Genomic DNA, 16,786 nt, shown 5'->3' with positions numbered 1-16,786 from the left:
CACCTCTGATTTCTCTCCTCCCCTTGTCCACATGGTGTCTGGGCGCCTTACTCTCGCCTCTCCCTCTCGCTGCTGAGCGGTCGCTCCTTTTATCCGCCCATCTCGGCGCCGACTCTCCTCCACTTTCCCTCACTTCATCAGCAGCCTGGAGACCTTAGCTGTCCCCACTCGATGCCAGAAAGAGCTTTCTCCAGAGGGAAAAAAGAAGAGGTGGGACATGTTTTCAGTGCAGGCAGATGCTGCCTAAGTTGCAGTTTTCCTGTCTAGGGACAGGGCAGGTGGATTCTGGGCAAACAGACTGGGTCTGGTGGAGACTTAACTGCCCGGCCATTGACTCAAGGAGTGGAGGAGAGGACCAGATAAAAGGCAGCTGAACACCAGAGAGGCGGAGTTGGTGTTCTCTTTCTTTGAGAAGTAAATGTGAAACATTAAGATCTGCCCATTTAAAAATAAAAAACAAGAAACAAAGTCTCCTGTAACAACTGGCCATGGTGCAGTTGCATTCGGTGTTCAGCTGAAAAATCCAGAAAGTTTAAGAAACGCAAGACATGAAGGTAAAGAAAGTGAGAACTTTCTAGAGAGGGAGGCAGCCAGAGGAAAAAAAAAAGGCAAAGGAAATAGGGAGAAAGAGACCTTCAGTCAGTTTTGATGTGCTGTAGGAACTTCTTTTGTCTCCTTTTTGTTTGATATTCCCATTTTCTTGATTGGTTTGTTCACAAAGCCTTTTTAAAATAACGATGATAATGCATGCTTATTGTGATAAGCCAAACAATGCTTGGGTGTATAAACAAAAAGGTAATAATAGTCTTACGATGGGAGAGGAGGCGATTATAACATTCATAAAATGTACAAGATAGAGCATTGTTTCTCCCTCTTCATTTCTGCTTCCTTCCCTTGGCCAGGGGCTTGATTGGATCCCAGACGTCGAATTTTACCTTGTTGGGTACTGGATGTTTTTGCATTCCTATAAATACTCTTGAGCTTTGTACTGGGATGCAGGAAACAGTTTGAGTCTTTCGGGTTTGTTTTTAATATTTGTTAGGCTGGACTAGATTAGCCTTTAGGACTGAATTTTTCCCCACTACTGAGGCAATACCCTTCGAATTATTCTACCCAAAACTTGTGAATTATAGGGCTTACCATTGTGACTGGTGGGAACACATAAAACACAGAAAAATCCAGAGACAGGCATGACCACAGAGGCCAAATTTCACCAAGCTTGGAGTATCTTGAGGCCTCTGAAGTTCAAACCAACAAAGGAGCCTTTTACCATATGAAGCTTAAGGGCAGTGTTAAGACTGCGGCTTTAACCAGTTAGGAAATTGCTTGACCTTGCCTGCTGTGTAGTCCCCTGTGACTTAGTCCCCAGTTATCTTCCTCCAGGCAGGAGGAGTTCTGATAGGGAGTAGGGTGGGGCTGATCCCGCACCAAAAGATAGCCATCGATTACATCTTTTATTTTCTCTTCTTCTTGTGTCACAAAGGTGATACTCCCCTTTAGAGAATATTCTGGAAATAAGGAGACATTTTTGGTTGTCATGATGACACTGTCCTGGCATTGAGGGATGTGGGTCAGGGATGCTAGACATCCTGACCCCCTGCAACATGTACAGGAAAATGAAGAACTGTATGTGACTTTCAAATGTTCTACAGGACATTCATGTAGATGAAAAACCTACTTACAATTGTCTGTACTTAGAACCTATCCTTGTGTTCCAAATAAATACAGTGTTTTTGTTGAATTTTCCAGGAATACAGCTACCACGTAAAATGAGGGAAGATTGTTATTTGTTTTGTTTGGAACTCTACCAAGACTTTTTCACAAAAAATTATGTGCCAATGGTTATGTTGCTTAAGGGTTTGTATTTGTGTTGCCAACACCGCACACTGTGGCAGCCTGCATTTGTACCGTCACACCACAGTGATTTATAGCTATTGCATGCAGAGTATTGATGTAAGCATTATGTCTTTTGGTACAGTTGTGCTTGAGCATTTACATATGGAAATACTGTATATATTTTATGGTAAATTACACTCCTTTTATGTATTCTTTATATTATAATAAAAGCATTATATATAATTAGTGTATTTGTTTGCAAGGTCCACCATAATAAAGTACCGCAGACCAGGTGGCTTAACAACAGAAATGTATTATCTCACAGTTCTGGAGTCTGGAAGTCTGAGATCAAGATGTCAGCAGGATTGGTTTCTTCTGAGAGTCATAAGGAGAAGGATCTGTCCTGGGATTGTCTCCTTAACAGGCCTCGATTGCTGTCTTCTCACTATGCCTCCACGTCACCTTCTCACCGTACTTGTCTCTGTCTAAATTTCCTCTTCTTCTAAGGACACCCTAGAACTGGATTAGGGCCCACTCTAGTGACCTAATTTTATTTTAGTTACCTCTTTAAAGGCTCTGTCTCCAAATATGGTCACATTCTGAGGTATTAGTGGTTAGGACTTCAATATATGAATTCCTAGAAGGACACAGTTCAGCCTATAACAATTAGGTATGTAGACACATCCTATTTCAAGATAGCAAAGGGAAAGTTATAGGAAGATTTCTTATAAAATGGGGACACTGAGTCTGATAGGGCTGAGAACTGCGGGTATGACTCCTCACAGGACAATGGTAAGTGGTGTCTTATAGGTAAGTGCTGCCCCTTACTTCAAATTTCCAGCCCAGTAGGGTTTACCGAGAATTGGCGTGACAGAACAAGCAGAGAGAGACTAGGGACAAGAAATATTGGCTACTGGGTAAAAGAAAGATAAGGGTTCAAACAAAGCTGACTTTGGCTATAGAAATAATGAAGAGGCCAGATGAGTGCTTTGCTTAAAAGCTTTCAATGTATCTTTATTTCCAAAGTTTCTATAACCAGTGCCACTCTACCTTTCCAACTTTACTTTTCTCTTGTTTAACATCTTCCGCTGCTCTGGTGAATCAATCTTCTTCTTGCCCCCGAAATATCTTAATGTATGTTTTTCTATGCAAGAAATGTCATATCTTTCTTCTTTATCTCAAAATCTTGTCCAGTTTTCAAAGCCGAGCTATGGGATTTTCTCACCCCATATCTCCCGGAAACCAATAGAATTGAGCAATTGGTAGGTAGAGTAGAATCTGAAAAGATGCACACGAAGAGGCCACGAGGAAGCAGGGGTCACGAGAAAGCTGAAATTATAGCTTACAGGTTATAAGGCAGCACAATAGACGAACAAACGTATAGAAAACCAAAAAGAGTAAAATAATTTCTTGGCAGTAAAAGGAGGGTTAGAAGCAGAGTTGCTGAGTGAGCATAATGGTGCTAGTGGAGGCAGGGGTGGGGTGGGGTGTTGATGAATTCTCGCTGCTGAAAGGGTTAATAAATTCTGTCCCTAGAGCTGTGCTGTATCTTTCAGATACCAGGCACCATGATACCTAGATATTCATGGATTCCTATGAGTGTGTCCCATGGTGGGATGGAAGTCCTCCCTTATATATTCCACATTGCAGTTCTCACTCACTCTGGGAACACAGACCTAAGATCATAGAACCTCAAAAGCATACATCCCTCTATTACTTCCAAATTACTTCATCCCTATGAAGGACATTTGTTGCTTTATACAAGCTCCCATTTCTCCCTCCTCCTTTCCAAGGTTACCCATATGTTAGTTTCTCCACACAGACTCTGAGTTTCAGAGGTAGCTAAACCAACCCCAATGCCAGAGATGGCTGGTTGCAATCCTTGGTTTAAGGGTTAAACATATGACCTAAGCATCTTGAATCAGTGTGGGCTTCAAATTCTTGCCAAAAATACTAGGCCAGAATCTCCTGCTGGATGTGGAGGAAAGCACAGGCCTGAATGCAGCCAGGAGTCAGCCATGCAACAACTATGGTGAGAGGTGGCCTCAGGATGAAGAGGACACTGCAGATGGCAGAGCTGAAAGGCAGAAAGGAAAGAGGCCCTTTTCCAACACTGAGCCACTGGATCAGCCAACTCCCTGAGCTTTTCATAATATGAGCCAATTAATTGCCTTGATTGTTTCAACTTCTTTGAATCGGGTTTTCTGTGACTTATGACTGAAAGATCCTAACAAACTCTGCCCTTTGACATTACTTCATGGGGCAGCTACAGGAAGAAGAGAAATGTTACACCATTTAAGCCAATTGGCGAGTATCTGGCTTTTTGGCCATGGTGATTTAGAAGGTTAGAGCAGGCAGTACTGTGCAAAGGCCGATAATTCCTGGGCTTCTGAAGCCCGGTTTGGAAGCTTCAGTGAAGAGTCCAGCAGCTAAAGTTCCACTGGGAGGCTTCCACTGCAAATAATTACAGCGACGGCAATGTCTTTAATACATCATACATTAGATTAAAAGCCAGGTGGCTAATTTGTATACCTGGCACACAGAAGTCAGCAACAGCAGCACTATCAGACAGCAGGCTGTAAAGTGTCAGTAATATGCACAGGTGGCAGTGGGGGATGCCTGCCAACCCCAAATACACTAGGGGAGATTGTAAACATCGTTTAGGAGGTTATCCAGTCTTATTGTCCTTATTCCCATGTGTGGCCTTACAGTGCTCCCTCATTCCCAGAGAAAAGCAGAGTAGCTCTCTGTTCTTTCACCCCAGAGATGCAACCACCTACAGACAAAACGAATACTAATGGTTACCGTTGATTAATCACTCTCCACATGCCAGGCACTGTTGTGTGCATTTCACACCTATTGTCTCACTTAATCCTCATAACACCCTTTAAGGTAGGAACTATTTATATCTCCTTTTCAGAGATGAGGAAACTGAGGCATGGAGAGGTTAAGGCCACAGAGCCAGTAAGGTCCCATGGAGAGTAAGGGGCACAGTAGGAGTTTAACCCCTGCTATGTGGCTTGCGTTTCTTAACTCCAACACTACATTGTCAACTTCTGTCCCATACTCCCTTTTCCTCTCCTGGACCCCTCTGATGATTTGTGAGAGGATATTCGTCTTTATACTTTTAAAATGTATATTTTATATGTGTATATACTTTTCATGTGTATTTTATGCCTATAAATTTACATCTAAACTTTTCATATTTATATTAGCATTGTTATCAAAAGTTAAAAAATTCCCCACAGTGCAGGGTGCAGTGGCATGTGCCTGCAGTCCCAGCTACTTGGGAGGCTGAGGCAGGAGGATTTCTTGAGCCTAGGAGTTCAAGTCCAGCCTGGTCAACATAGTGAGATCCTGTCTCTTAAAAAAGAAAAAGCCCCCAGCATCCCCTCGCCTAAGAGGATGGACTCGCTGGGATCCACCCCGAGACTGTCAGCACTGGCTACTTCTATGAGGGCCTTTAGCCAAGAGTAGGCATCTCTCCTGAAGAAGCTGCAGGGCAGAAGTAGCAGCCATGCTTAGAACTCACAATCTGATTTATCTGATGAAGGAGGAGGTGTCTGATTTCATCGGAAACCTGAACAAACCTGGCAAACTTTCTGGCCTGTGACTAAGATAAAAAGGATCATGGCTCATGGCTCAGTGGACATGGCTGACTTACACCCTTCTCCTTTGGGATGAATGTCACCCTGTCAAGATGTTGAAGGAGTTCGTGTCCCAACACGAACAATATGATTGAACTAGTACAGAATTGGGAGATGGGGTCCCTAGCCAGCGACTATGAAGACAAACAGCAATTCATCAGGAAGTGGTTGTTGTCACCAATAAGTGATACAAACACTCCTTAGAAAGCACGTCACTCCATGAAATACTTGTGATCTGAGCTGAGAGACGATCCCTTCGTAGCTCTTCCAAAGGTAAGGGTGTCAACAGAGGACCAGCTCTTGATATAGGTTACTGTATCATAACATAGCCTAGAGACTGTTTTCTGACTCTCCCCTTTTCTTACAACTCTCAGGATGTGGGGAGAGTGAAGAGGGTCTCTCCCTCATTTGAAGAGGCAATTTGATTAGAGTTGCATTGGTCTATATGTTATTTCTAATCTCTGAGAGGATTTATCTTAAGTATAGTAACCTACACTTAATAATTATTAACCTACTTTTAATAGTCACTGTTTAATCCACCTTTCCCCTTCCAAGAGAAAGGAAAAGGCTACCAATTCATTTAGAATTTACTGTGAATCAGGTATGTCATAAAGAGTAATTCACCATTCCCCCTTCTCCCAGATTAAAGTGGAAACTGTTTTTTGTGATCTTGTGGTCTAGTATAAGGATGGGAGAGCCACTGTTTGGATGGAGGCTGTTAAGTACGATAGAATGGGTGTTTCAGGGTTAGGCAGGTTCTAAAGAGTGGCAGAAATAGGGTAGTGCTAAGATTTGAATGTGCCCCCAAAAAGCATGTGTTGGAAATTTAATGGAATTATAACAGTATTAAGAGGCAGGAATTTTAAGAGGTGATTAGGCCACAAGGGCTCTGCCCTCATGAATAATAGATTAACACCATTATCGAGGGAGAGGCTTTGTTATTGCAGGAGTGGGTTTTTTACAAAAGGACAAGCTTGTCCCCCTTTTCTCTCTCTTTCACCTTCCATCATATGATGAACCAGCAAAAAGGCCCTTAGATCTTGGACTTCTCAGCCTCCATAACTGTGAGAAATAAACTTCTGTTCTTTATAAATTACCTAGTCTTAGGTATTCTGTTATAGCAGCACAAAACAGGCTAAGACAGGTAGGCTAACACCCAGCTCTTTAGCTTTGGTTTATAGAACCAGCAATTCCCAAGGGCAAAATTTATAGTCAGTCTACCAAGGTTCTGTTTGATATGTAAGGTCAGAAAAACTAGTCTAAATTAATATTTACTCAGAGATTCTGCCCATCTTTGCTAGATTATGTGGGTCTCAGAATCAAATGAGGATGGACTCTGCTGGTTTGAAAGTTTGAATGTGTAGGGGAGTGATGCTTCTACCAGGAGAAATGATCATGTTTTCTATACACTGGGACCTGAGACTGCCTCTTGGCCATCTCAGATTCCTCGCCCCTCCTACACAACATTCTTTCCTTGTTTTCCTCCTGGAACAAAGTTTCTTCCTTCCTTCCCTTTCTTTCTCTTTCTTTCTTTCTTTTCTTTCTTTCTTTCTTTCTTTCTTTCTTTCTTTCTTTCTTTCTTTCTTTCTTTCTTTTCTTTCTCTCTCTCTTTCTCTCTCTCTCTTTCTTTCTTCTTTCCTTTCTTTCTCTCTCTTTCTCTCTCTCTCCCTTCCCTCCCTCCCTCTCCCTCCCTCCCTCTCTCTCTCTCTTTCTTTCTTTCTCTCTCTCTCTCTTTCTTTCTTTCTTCTTTCTTTTCTTTCTTTTGACAGAGTTTCGCTCTTGTTGCCCAGCCTGGAGGGCAATGGCACGATCTCGGGTCACTGCAACCTCTGCTTCCCGGGTTCAAGCAATTCTCCTGCCTCAGCCTCCAGAGTAGCTAGGATTACAGGCATAAGCCACCACACTCGGCTATTTTTGTATTTTTTACTAGAGACGGGGTTTCTCCATGTTGGTCAGGCTGGTCTTGAATTCCTGACCTCAGGTGATCCGCCCCCCTCGGTCTCCCAAAGTGTTGGGATTACGGGCGTGAGCCACCGCACCTGGCCAACCTTCCATGTTCTTAACTTTGGTTGTAAACTCAAGTGCTGCTACCAATATTCCAATGTGCAAAGGGATCTCACAGCTCTGGCATAAGCTGGACCACTGCATTAGTATTGGCAGAGGCGTTGACAGCAACAGGTCTGTGGAGGTGGCGCTAATGTCCTTGGTGGAAGCACAGGACCATGATGACAACATAGGTGGAGCTAGTGAGCTCCAAGGCTTTCAGGGGCAGTAGAGATCTCTAAGCTGATGGAAGCTAAGAGGGCTTATTTATCTGTAAAAATTAGCAGTTCCCCTGATTTCACCTAAGAATGCATGCAGGTAATTGGGAAGATGAAAAGTGACTGAAGCGCTGAAATAGTAGGTAGAGCTGAAGCCAAAAAAATGCTTTTAATTACTGTTTACATGACCTTTAGTGACTTCCAAGTTGGAGAGGAAGAATTTTTTTTTTTTAAACTATATCCATGTAAGACTTTTGGTAAGAGAGTTTATCTAGCAAAAAATTGTTACCAAGTTCTATGCTGGGTTTATTTTATAAATTTTTGAAAATTTAACCATATCTTCCCATATTTTACTAGTAAAAATAATCTAAGAATGCTTAGATTTCTTACTTAGAAAAAACAAATATTTAAGCATGTAGTATATCACTTACGTTAGCTATGTTACAGCAATATAACCAATATGAATTTATGTGCTTAGGTGAAAAACAAAACATATTTAATCATTTTTTAAAATCAAATGAACTCTGATGCCAAACACCAATCTAACTGGTAGGAAATTCAATCTTAGTCACATGTTGGGAGAGCTTTACCTCTTCCCCTGTTAGTGCAAATGTCCTGGAGAGATTATGCAATTTTAAACAATTTGCGGGAACAGTCTTATGCCCAGGTGCAGGCCTAAGAGGTTGCATTTTTGTAGGTAATTAAAAACAATAATAATGCTAATTTAAAAATCACTCTGCCTTTTTATTATCACTGTGTCCTGGCTATTTCAAACAATGTCAGTGAAAAATACTCCATCACGAAAAAGAAAGTTGTGGGTCTAAAGTCTAAACAATTTCTATGAATATGGTTGAGATTTAACAATATGTATGTAAGCTACAAATTAGCACTTTTCATTACTTATGCTTTAATAAATATTTCATTCTACAGGGACTTTAAATAGAAGAATCTTCTGTTATTCAGTTGTTTCGCCCCACTTCACCACTGCCATAGATCAGTCTTACACATTTGGTTAGTGACAAATTTCTAAAGCTTCGGAATCATTGACGTGAATCTCTATGGTGTTACATATTCCTGCATTTAAACATTAGGTTCAAAAGAAGCAATGATAACACAGTGATTGTACAGATGAATAAAGAGAGCTTCAGTTATTTCAATTCTCCCTTTCCATATGGTAACTTGGAATTTTTATTTGTGTTTAAAATTTAAAACAGTGAATCCAAGTGCATACTGCTTCTATGTGAAATATTCTAGATCAATTTGCATAAACTCTTTTAAATTGAAATTTTATATCCTTAATTGTTAATTGTTTTAAAACTAGGGAGTGAATCAAGGAAGTAATTATTATGTGATTATTCTAAACATAATTTTATCTTATACAGGTAAGGGTGTCAAAAAAAAAAAGATTGATTCCTACTGTCAAATGCACTGGCTATGCCCCTGCTCTGGTGTTCAATTAATTATAGGGGCCTCAGCTCCTGGCAGCAGGGTCTGTTTAAAGGTGGCAGGTCTGGGCAGCAATCACTGGGACAGCTTCCGCAGCTCCTGAGTGTTCACACACTACCCATAAATAAAATAGCCACTCTTTAATGCTTGATTTAAAAAAAGCCTTGATGGATAAGTCTGCTTTTTTCCCAGGTTTTGGAAAACAAAATTCTCATAACACAGTTCTTGGACAAGGAAAGTTCAACTTTCTTTTGATGTGTATATCATTAGAAGGAGATGGGTCAGGATTGGGACAGGGAGGAGTAATATCTCTTACTGTTTTGTGTTGAGACTATAGAAACATGAGATGTAATGTGATGGTTAATTTTACATGTCACCTTGACTGAGTTCAGGGACACCCAGATAGCTGGTAAAACATTTCTGGGTGTGTCTGTGAGGGTGTTTCAATAAGAGATTAGCATTTGAATCTCTTCCAGTGCTGTAGACTGAGTAAAGATTGCCCCCACCAGCGTGCGTGAGCATCATTCAGCATCCCTTGAAGACCCAGATAGAACAAAATGGCAGAAGAAGGGCGAATTTGCTTTCTGCTTGAGTTGGGACATCCATCTTCTCCTCCCCTTGAACATTATGCTCCTGGTTCTTGGGCCTTCGGACTCAAACTGGGAATTATACCAGCGGCCTCCCTGGTTCTTAGGCCTTTGGGCTTATAGACTGGAGCTACACCACCCGCTTCCCTGGGCCTCCAGGTGGCAATAGTGGGACTTCTCAGCCTCCACAATCACAGGAGCCCATCCCTCATAGCGAATCTCTTTCTCTTTCTCTCTCTCTCTATAGATTCTATTGGTTCTGTTTTTCTGGGGAACCCTGACTAATACACACACTAATACACCTTGACTCACCCTGACTAAAAAGTTTTATCTTGGGTTATCTTGCCACATTAGTCAACAGTATTGTGGAATTGTATTTAAATACTAATTCTTGTGAGTACTATCAATTTAGAGAAGTAAAAATGATTGCATTTGTCGTACCCTTAAATCCCACAAGCTTAGAAATATTATACGCCACTTGAGTCAACTGAGTTTGTTAATTACAGTCTGGCTTTATTTTTGTGGGATATAACAGTATTCATCCTTGATTATATTATTGTTCTGTGGTCTTATCAGTATAATGTGTTATTGTATATAATGTGGGCGATAGGGTTTTTTTGAAGGTGACAAAAATATTACATTTTTGTGAGACAGAATGCAGCAATTAAACCATGAAGTATTAACTAATCACCGAATTGTGCATAATGTGAAGTGAGGTGCCTCACTCACCCCACATATCCAGATTTGACATAACAAGCTCCCCTAAGAACATCCTGGGCCATGTTAACTTGCTGCCCCTTTATCTTACCAATCACATTGACAGTTCAGGTGTGAGGCTTCTCAACAGTGTCTTTTCTATCTCCCCATCTCTACCAGCTGGACTGTCCACCCCTCAGTTCCTGGAAGCGGTAACAGAAGGCAGCTCGCTCCTAACCCTTCCATTCCTACCCCAGCTATAATTAACTCTTTGCATTCCAACAGTGCCTTTCTAATTCCACTAACACTGATAGAAACGACAGAAGTTCCTGTCCAATTGCTGAAGCTTGGGAGATTGATCCTGGGACTGCTACTGAAAACTCAAATTCCATTTCTTCACAGAACCAATTTTTGTCAGAGTTGAAATAAAGCTTGAGCATGGTACCTCTAATACGTTTTGGATCCAACGGGCTTTTTGTAGGCTGACGGGAAAGCCCAACTAAAATGTATAACATTAACTCTGAAATGTATGCTCCTGTAGACTTGGATATTGTCTGGAATCAATCTTGCTGGGAAATAAAGCCCATTTATAAATTAGAAGTCCTCTGATAATTCACATTGTCTGAACTATGCACTCTAGCCCACACCAGAAGCACCAGTGGGGCCTCCATGTTGAGAACAAAGGGTCAAAATAAGAACATTAGTGCAGGAAATAAATAGCTAGTGCCATCATATCTCAGGATGTGTCGAAGAGGCATGGGCACTGGAATTTGGGTGTATGTGGGGAAAGGATTGCAGGTGGAAGGGGAAGTGAGGTCTGGAGTCCAGGTATTTATTAGACCCTCCTAGTCAGGCAAGGTAGAAACTGTGTGAGATGCAGAAAAGAGCCAGGAAATGGTCACTGTCAGTCACAGACCACGGCAAATATAGGAAGCCCCAACATATATGGGGACTCAATGGTGGAGCAGTTAGGGCAGAGGATAGCTGGAAGACACAGTTGTAAAACTCGAAGCATATGTTGAAGGCTGGGTTTAAGGTTAGGGGCTCTAAGAAGGATCTCAAGAATTAAACAAGATTTCAATGAGGACCAATGAGAAGCTGAGTCCTAGAAAATAAAATGTGTTGGTGGGGGGAAGGAGAATGTACTGGGGGAAAGAGATGCTTATTGAGGCACAAGGAACCCCATTGTCATAACATGGAATCAGGGGAAGGAGTGATGGTGAGCTGCAAACTAAGGACTGGGAGAGAAGCCAGGTGCTGATCCTGAATCTCCACATTCTGGGCCCACTTTGCACCTGCATGTTGAATCAGTGCCCTGAGGACAAGGAATGATTGGTGGGTCTTCTTTATTCCTAGTACACTGCCAAGACCCAAGCACAAGACATCCTGCTTGCCTTTCTGTTGCTTAGCAACGGCCACCTCCTTGATTACCCGAGTTGTCATAGTTTTTCTGTAGCTATCTACTCTGACACCCAGTACATTGGCCTACAAAGAACAAGGCAAAAGCCTGGTCATTCAGCCCAATACAAGATGACTTGCAGTGATAAGCCAGTACACACTAGTATGGGCAGTTCTCAGTACAGGGAGCAACAAGACCGATTTCATGCTGAACCCAAACGTCGAGTACCAGACAGGGAAGGGAAGGAAATTCCACCGATTCTGTAAACCCCAGAATTATGGGGGAGAGAAAGAAACAGAGAGAGAATAAAATAAATAAAATGTCAGGTAATGATATTTTAAATAGAATATGTGTTTCAAATGTATATTAAAGTAAAATTTCTTCATCAATCACTCTTTTTCTAGGAAAATTATTTAGTTATGTCAAACACAAAGAAAAACAGGTAGCTTGCCCCTCAAAAAGCCTAAAACTTCTAGATTAAAATGGTCATAGATGTTTCTCAAGAATTACAGTAATTAAATGTTAACATTTAAAAGGGTTGGGAAATTCTGTACTCTGCAAGGTAGAACAAGGACTAAGTCATCAATCAGATGACATGATGCCAAAAATAGTTTGGGAAAGTCAAGAGTAGAGATCTAAACGTTCTCTCTATTCCCGCCTGAAAGATCATCAGCTGGAAAATACTCTACCTGCAGTGATTAAGTCCAAATTTGTGGCACAGTGCTTAGAAGAAGAGCAGCAAGTTAAAAGTCTACGTGTCTGTCCATTAAAGCCCTTACACTGCGTATTCACCAGCCACAGCCCGCTGGAAAACACACCTGTGCATTTATCTTCTTTGAAATCTGGGATGGCAAATCTTCTTTTATTGTTGGGCATCACTGTCACTCCCACCCAGATCAACAAATGTTCTCATGCAAGTACAAAATGTACATAGTTCTTTTGGTCTCCGTGGGTTTAATAGAAATTATTTTTATTGAAACAGGTAAATTGTTACCATTTCGCTCATAATCTATTTATTAAATGAGGTATACCTGAAAAAAGGAAACCTTTCAGGTCACATTATGGCTAGTACCAGCAAAAGCTGCAGCTGCGGAAAGGGACGTGAGAAAGGGCGGGGGTGGGGGGGCGGGGGGAAAGGGAAGAAAGGCCGGACGGTGGAAAGTGGTGAGGAACCAGGAGCTGAATGAGAAGGAGAGGCTGCCCAGAAGCAAGAGGGCCAGTGCTGGTTATCTGACTCTCCTCACATCCTCTAGGTGATCCAGGCGTGTCTGTTTCAGACAATCATTGTCATTACCACCCCTTGAGGTTTTTATTTCCTTCTTGTAGTATAAATTATTGCCTGACTTCGGGCCGGGCGCGGTGGCTCAAGCCTGTAATTCCAGCACTTTGGGAGGCCGAGGGGGGCGGATCACGAGGTCAGGAGATCAAGACCATCCTGGCTAACACGGTGAAACCCCATCTCCACTAAAAATACAAAAAATTAGCCGGGCGTGGTGGCGGGCGCCTGTAGTCCCAGCCACTCGGGAGGCTGAGGCAGGAGAATGGCGTGGACCCGGGAGGCGGAGCTTGCAGTGAGCGGAGATCGCGCCACTGCACTCCAGCCTGGGCGACTGAGCAGGACTCCGTCTCAAAAAAAAAAAAAGAAAAGAAAAAAAGAAAGAAAGAAAGTACTGCCTGAGTTCTTTTTTAAACTTCAGAGTTTATTTTCTCAAGAAATTGTATGTTCCCACTCTCCACTTCCCCTCTCCCTGCTGAGGAATCATCTAAAGACATTCTCAAGCTTGTCCAAGCCACCTTATTTTGTTGTTGTTGTTGCAGTTCTGTTGTTTTGTTTTAGGCTTTTAGCAGCCTGAAGCCATGGTTTTTAGTTTCTGTCTCCAGTGATGAAAGGAAAAGAGGGATGAGGAAGGGGCTTTACCAGCCCAATCACAAATAGAAACTAGGAACCTATGACTATATTCTCTCCCTTGGACACCTAACCGGTTTACTTAACAATATTTGCAGGATTAGCTGGATGCAGTGTCGCATGCCTGTAGCCCCACCTACTCTAGAGGCTGAGGTGGAGGGCTTTTTGCAGGGGTTCGAGTCTGGGCTGGGCAATATAAGGAGAACCCCCCCCCCCACCACCCTGCATCTGAAAGAGAGAAAGAAAGAAAGAAAAGAAAGAGGAAAGGAAGAAAGAGAGAGAGAAAGAAAGAGGAAGAAGAAAGAAAGAAAGAAAGAAAGAAAGAAAGAAAGAGAGAAAGCATTCGAAAGATTAGTCAATTTACATAGTTATCTGCCCCAAAGTCTTTGCTGTCTGCCTTTGAAACTATAATTTAGAAAACAAACCAAACAATGCTAATTAAAATACTATATCCGGATTTTTTTTCTTTTACATTAGTTTTTATTCCTTATCTAAGTAAAACATATTAAAAATTAAAATAGCCCTAAAAGGCTTACAATGAAAAACAGTAATCTTTTAACCAGTTTCCTCCTTAACAGGTCCCACCCACCATCCTAATACCGTCCCTGTTCCTGGAATCAGCCACTTACAACTGGTTTAGCTGTTAATTTTGATACTTTCCTCAATATTTTAAAACAATATACTCATACTTGCGATTTATTTTTGCACAGCTTCAGATGATTATTTAATTTGTAAATATTGTACAAATTTTAGTGACTTAAATACTATATATAGCCAAATAGAAAATTGCATTAATGATTGCTAGGGCTTGTGACATAGGATCAGCGTATCGGGCTCCTTTTGCTTGCTGAGGCCCTAGACTTGACAGTGGCCTGGAATCAACAGGAGTGAGGGTTTACTTGCAAGCCAGCACTATCCTTGGGCAACATTCTCTCTTCCTGAGGTCTTCTGGACTCTAGTCTGTGGGGTACGCCATGGTGCAGGCTGCTCAGCTGGGCCTCAGAAACCCTTCTCCAGGAGTCAGTCTTGAGCTACTGATCAAAGTCTCCTGGCCGGGCACGGTGGATCATGCCTGTAATCCCAGCACTTTGGGAAGTCTAGGCAGGTAGATCACAAGGTCAGGAAATCGAGACCATCCTGGCCAACATCGTGAAACCCCATCTCTACTAAAAATACAAAAATTAGCCGGGCGTGGCAGGGTGCGCCTGAGTTCCAGCTACTCAGGAGGCTGAGGCAGGAGAATCACTTGAACCCGGGAGGTGGAGGTGGAGGTTGCAGTGAGCCGAGATCGCACCACGCCACTGCACTCCAGCGTGGGCAACAGAGCGAGACTCTGTCTCACAAAAAAAAAAAAAAAGTCTCCCCTGACCTGCAGCATACCTGTCACCTCATTGACCTGGCTGAGGTACGGGTACGGGTACACAGGAACAGGTGTCTTTCCCAGCAGTGGGCTCAGAAAATCCTCCACATCCTTCAGCAGCGCCCAGATGTCCCCCTCCACCTTTGGGGTCACAGTCATCTGAAAGTTGCCATGTGTGATGTCCTTATAGACAAGGATTTTGTGCATCTGAGGGCACTGCACCAAGTAGGGCAGATTGGGTGGGGTTGGGGGTTTCTCTGGGAGGTTGCCAGCCATTGGGGTGGGATAATGTTCATGCCTTGGGGACTTTGGGATCCTAGTGAAGAGTAACAGTCACTCTGCAAACGTGTTCATCCACAGGCTTCACAAAGCTCGGATAATCCAGAGCTGCCAGGGTCTGGCTCAGTAGTCATAGCCCACAGCCCTGGTGGATGTTGGTTCTCCAGCCCTGCAGCATGTCCCGGAACATGGTAGTTGCCCCTTACCTAGCTTATTCCGCTGTCTATTTATTTATCAATTTAGATGTTAGCTATTGACTTACTTATGTTGTAGGTGATTTAGCTTTGTAAAAAATATTCCTCCACCCTTTCTTCCTATCACTATAGTTATATCACCTTATTCAGTCTGCCTTTACATTATAATAATTATTAATTATATTATACTTAATAATAATTAATTGTTATATTTGTTCACCACTGAGGCAAGTCATCAAATGTATGCCTCCTTTCTTGTATAGTGTTTTGTTCTCTTTGAAGTTCTTTTGTTCCCCATGGTACATGTCCCCAAGTTGTGTGTGTGAATATTGTGTTGTGTGTGTGTGTGTGTGTGTGTGTGTGTGTATTTTGGTCTCTTTTATATTAACAGTTTCCTTAAATGTCTGGTGATCTTTGACTCTGTTCATGTTGAAATGTGAAGTACCAAAAATATGAATTGAAGCTCTGTGAGTTGTGTTGGGCTTGCCCTATTTGTATTGGGAAACCACTAAATGTCATATGTGGAAGTCTTTGTTTCTGGGATACTCAATTTTTCCAGAAAAGAATCATCTAATTTCCTGCTCATACATGCCTGCATGTGGGAATCAGTGAGTGCGTGTGTCTGTGTGTGTGTGATCCTGGCTGTTGGCATTTGGAAGAGCGGGTTAGGTGAAGGAGATTCTGGATCTCACGATTTGATGTGCAGATTGTCACTTATTTTTAATTTTCAGTTTTTGGATCTGTGTCTCCCCTCCAGGTCAAAGGTAACTGAGTCCTGTCCACAGACTTTCAACCAAGCCCCTGTTTGAGCTTCAGCCTTTGCCAAGGTCTGTGTACTCCAGGTTTGTGTACTTCCAGTGAGTGCTGGTGGTCTGAGAGGAAAGTGTCTCTCTTACTTCTGGTTGGTACCCATTGGTTCCCAATCCTCCATGCACTACCTGTTGAAATTATTGTCTTAAAGGGGAGTCCTATATAAAGAATTAATCATGAATTAAATACACAATCCAGAAACCATTGAAATGTAGACATTAAATGGATAAATTGTATGGTATGTGAATTATAGCTTAATGAAGCTGTTTGAAAAATGATGCTTACATCAAAAAACTGTGGAAAACAAGTAAAAAAAAAGTTGTTTTTTTCTTTTCTTTTTTTTTTTTGGATGGAGTTTCACTCGT

General features: G+C 42.1%; 1 pseudogene, besides 3 other annotated features; it reads right to left on the bottom strand.

Moving 5' to 3' along the window:
• Positions 1,059-1,560: an enhancer, noted in NCBI's record as "NANOG hESC enhancer chr5:63984741-63985242 (GRCh37/hg19 assembly coordinates)". NCBI's record gives its function as "activates a minimal SCP1, AML or CMV promoter by ChIP-STARR-seq in primed H9 embryonic stem cells {active_cell/tissue: H9 hESC(primed)}" and the evidence as "EXISTENCE:reporter gene assay evidence [ECO:0000049][PMID:30033119]".
• Positions 1,258-1,552: a silencer, noted in NCBI's record as "tiled region #12830; HepG2 Repressive non-DNase unmatched - State 21:Repr". NCBI's record gives its function as "represses a minimal TATA promoter and a strong SV40 promoter by Sharpr-MPRA in HepG2 cells {active_cell/tissue: HepG2}" and the evidence as "EXISTENCE:reporter gene assay evidence [ECO:0000049][PMID:27701403]".
• Positions 1,258-1,552: an enhancer, noted in NCBI's record as "tiled region #12830; K562 Activating DNase matched - State 8:EnhW". NCBI's record gives its function as "activates a minimal TATA promoter and a strong SV40 promoter by Sharpr-MPRA in K562 cells {active_cell/tissue: K562}" and the evidence as "EXISTENCE:reporter gene assay evidence [ECO:0000049][PMID:27701403]".
• MRPL49P1 (mitochondrial ribosomal protein L49 pseudogene 1) lies at positions 15,084-15,620 on the bottom strand (annotated as a pseudogene).

This window comes from Homo sapiens, chromosome 5 (assembly GCF_000001405.40).
Source record: "Homo sapiens chromosome 5, GRCh38.p14 Primary Assembly".
Taxonomy (NCBI): Eukaryota; Metazoa; Chordata; class Mammalia; order Primates; family Hominidae; genus Homo; species Homo sapiens.
This window is presented reverse-complemented; position numbering and strand designations above follow the sequence as displayed.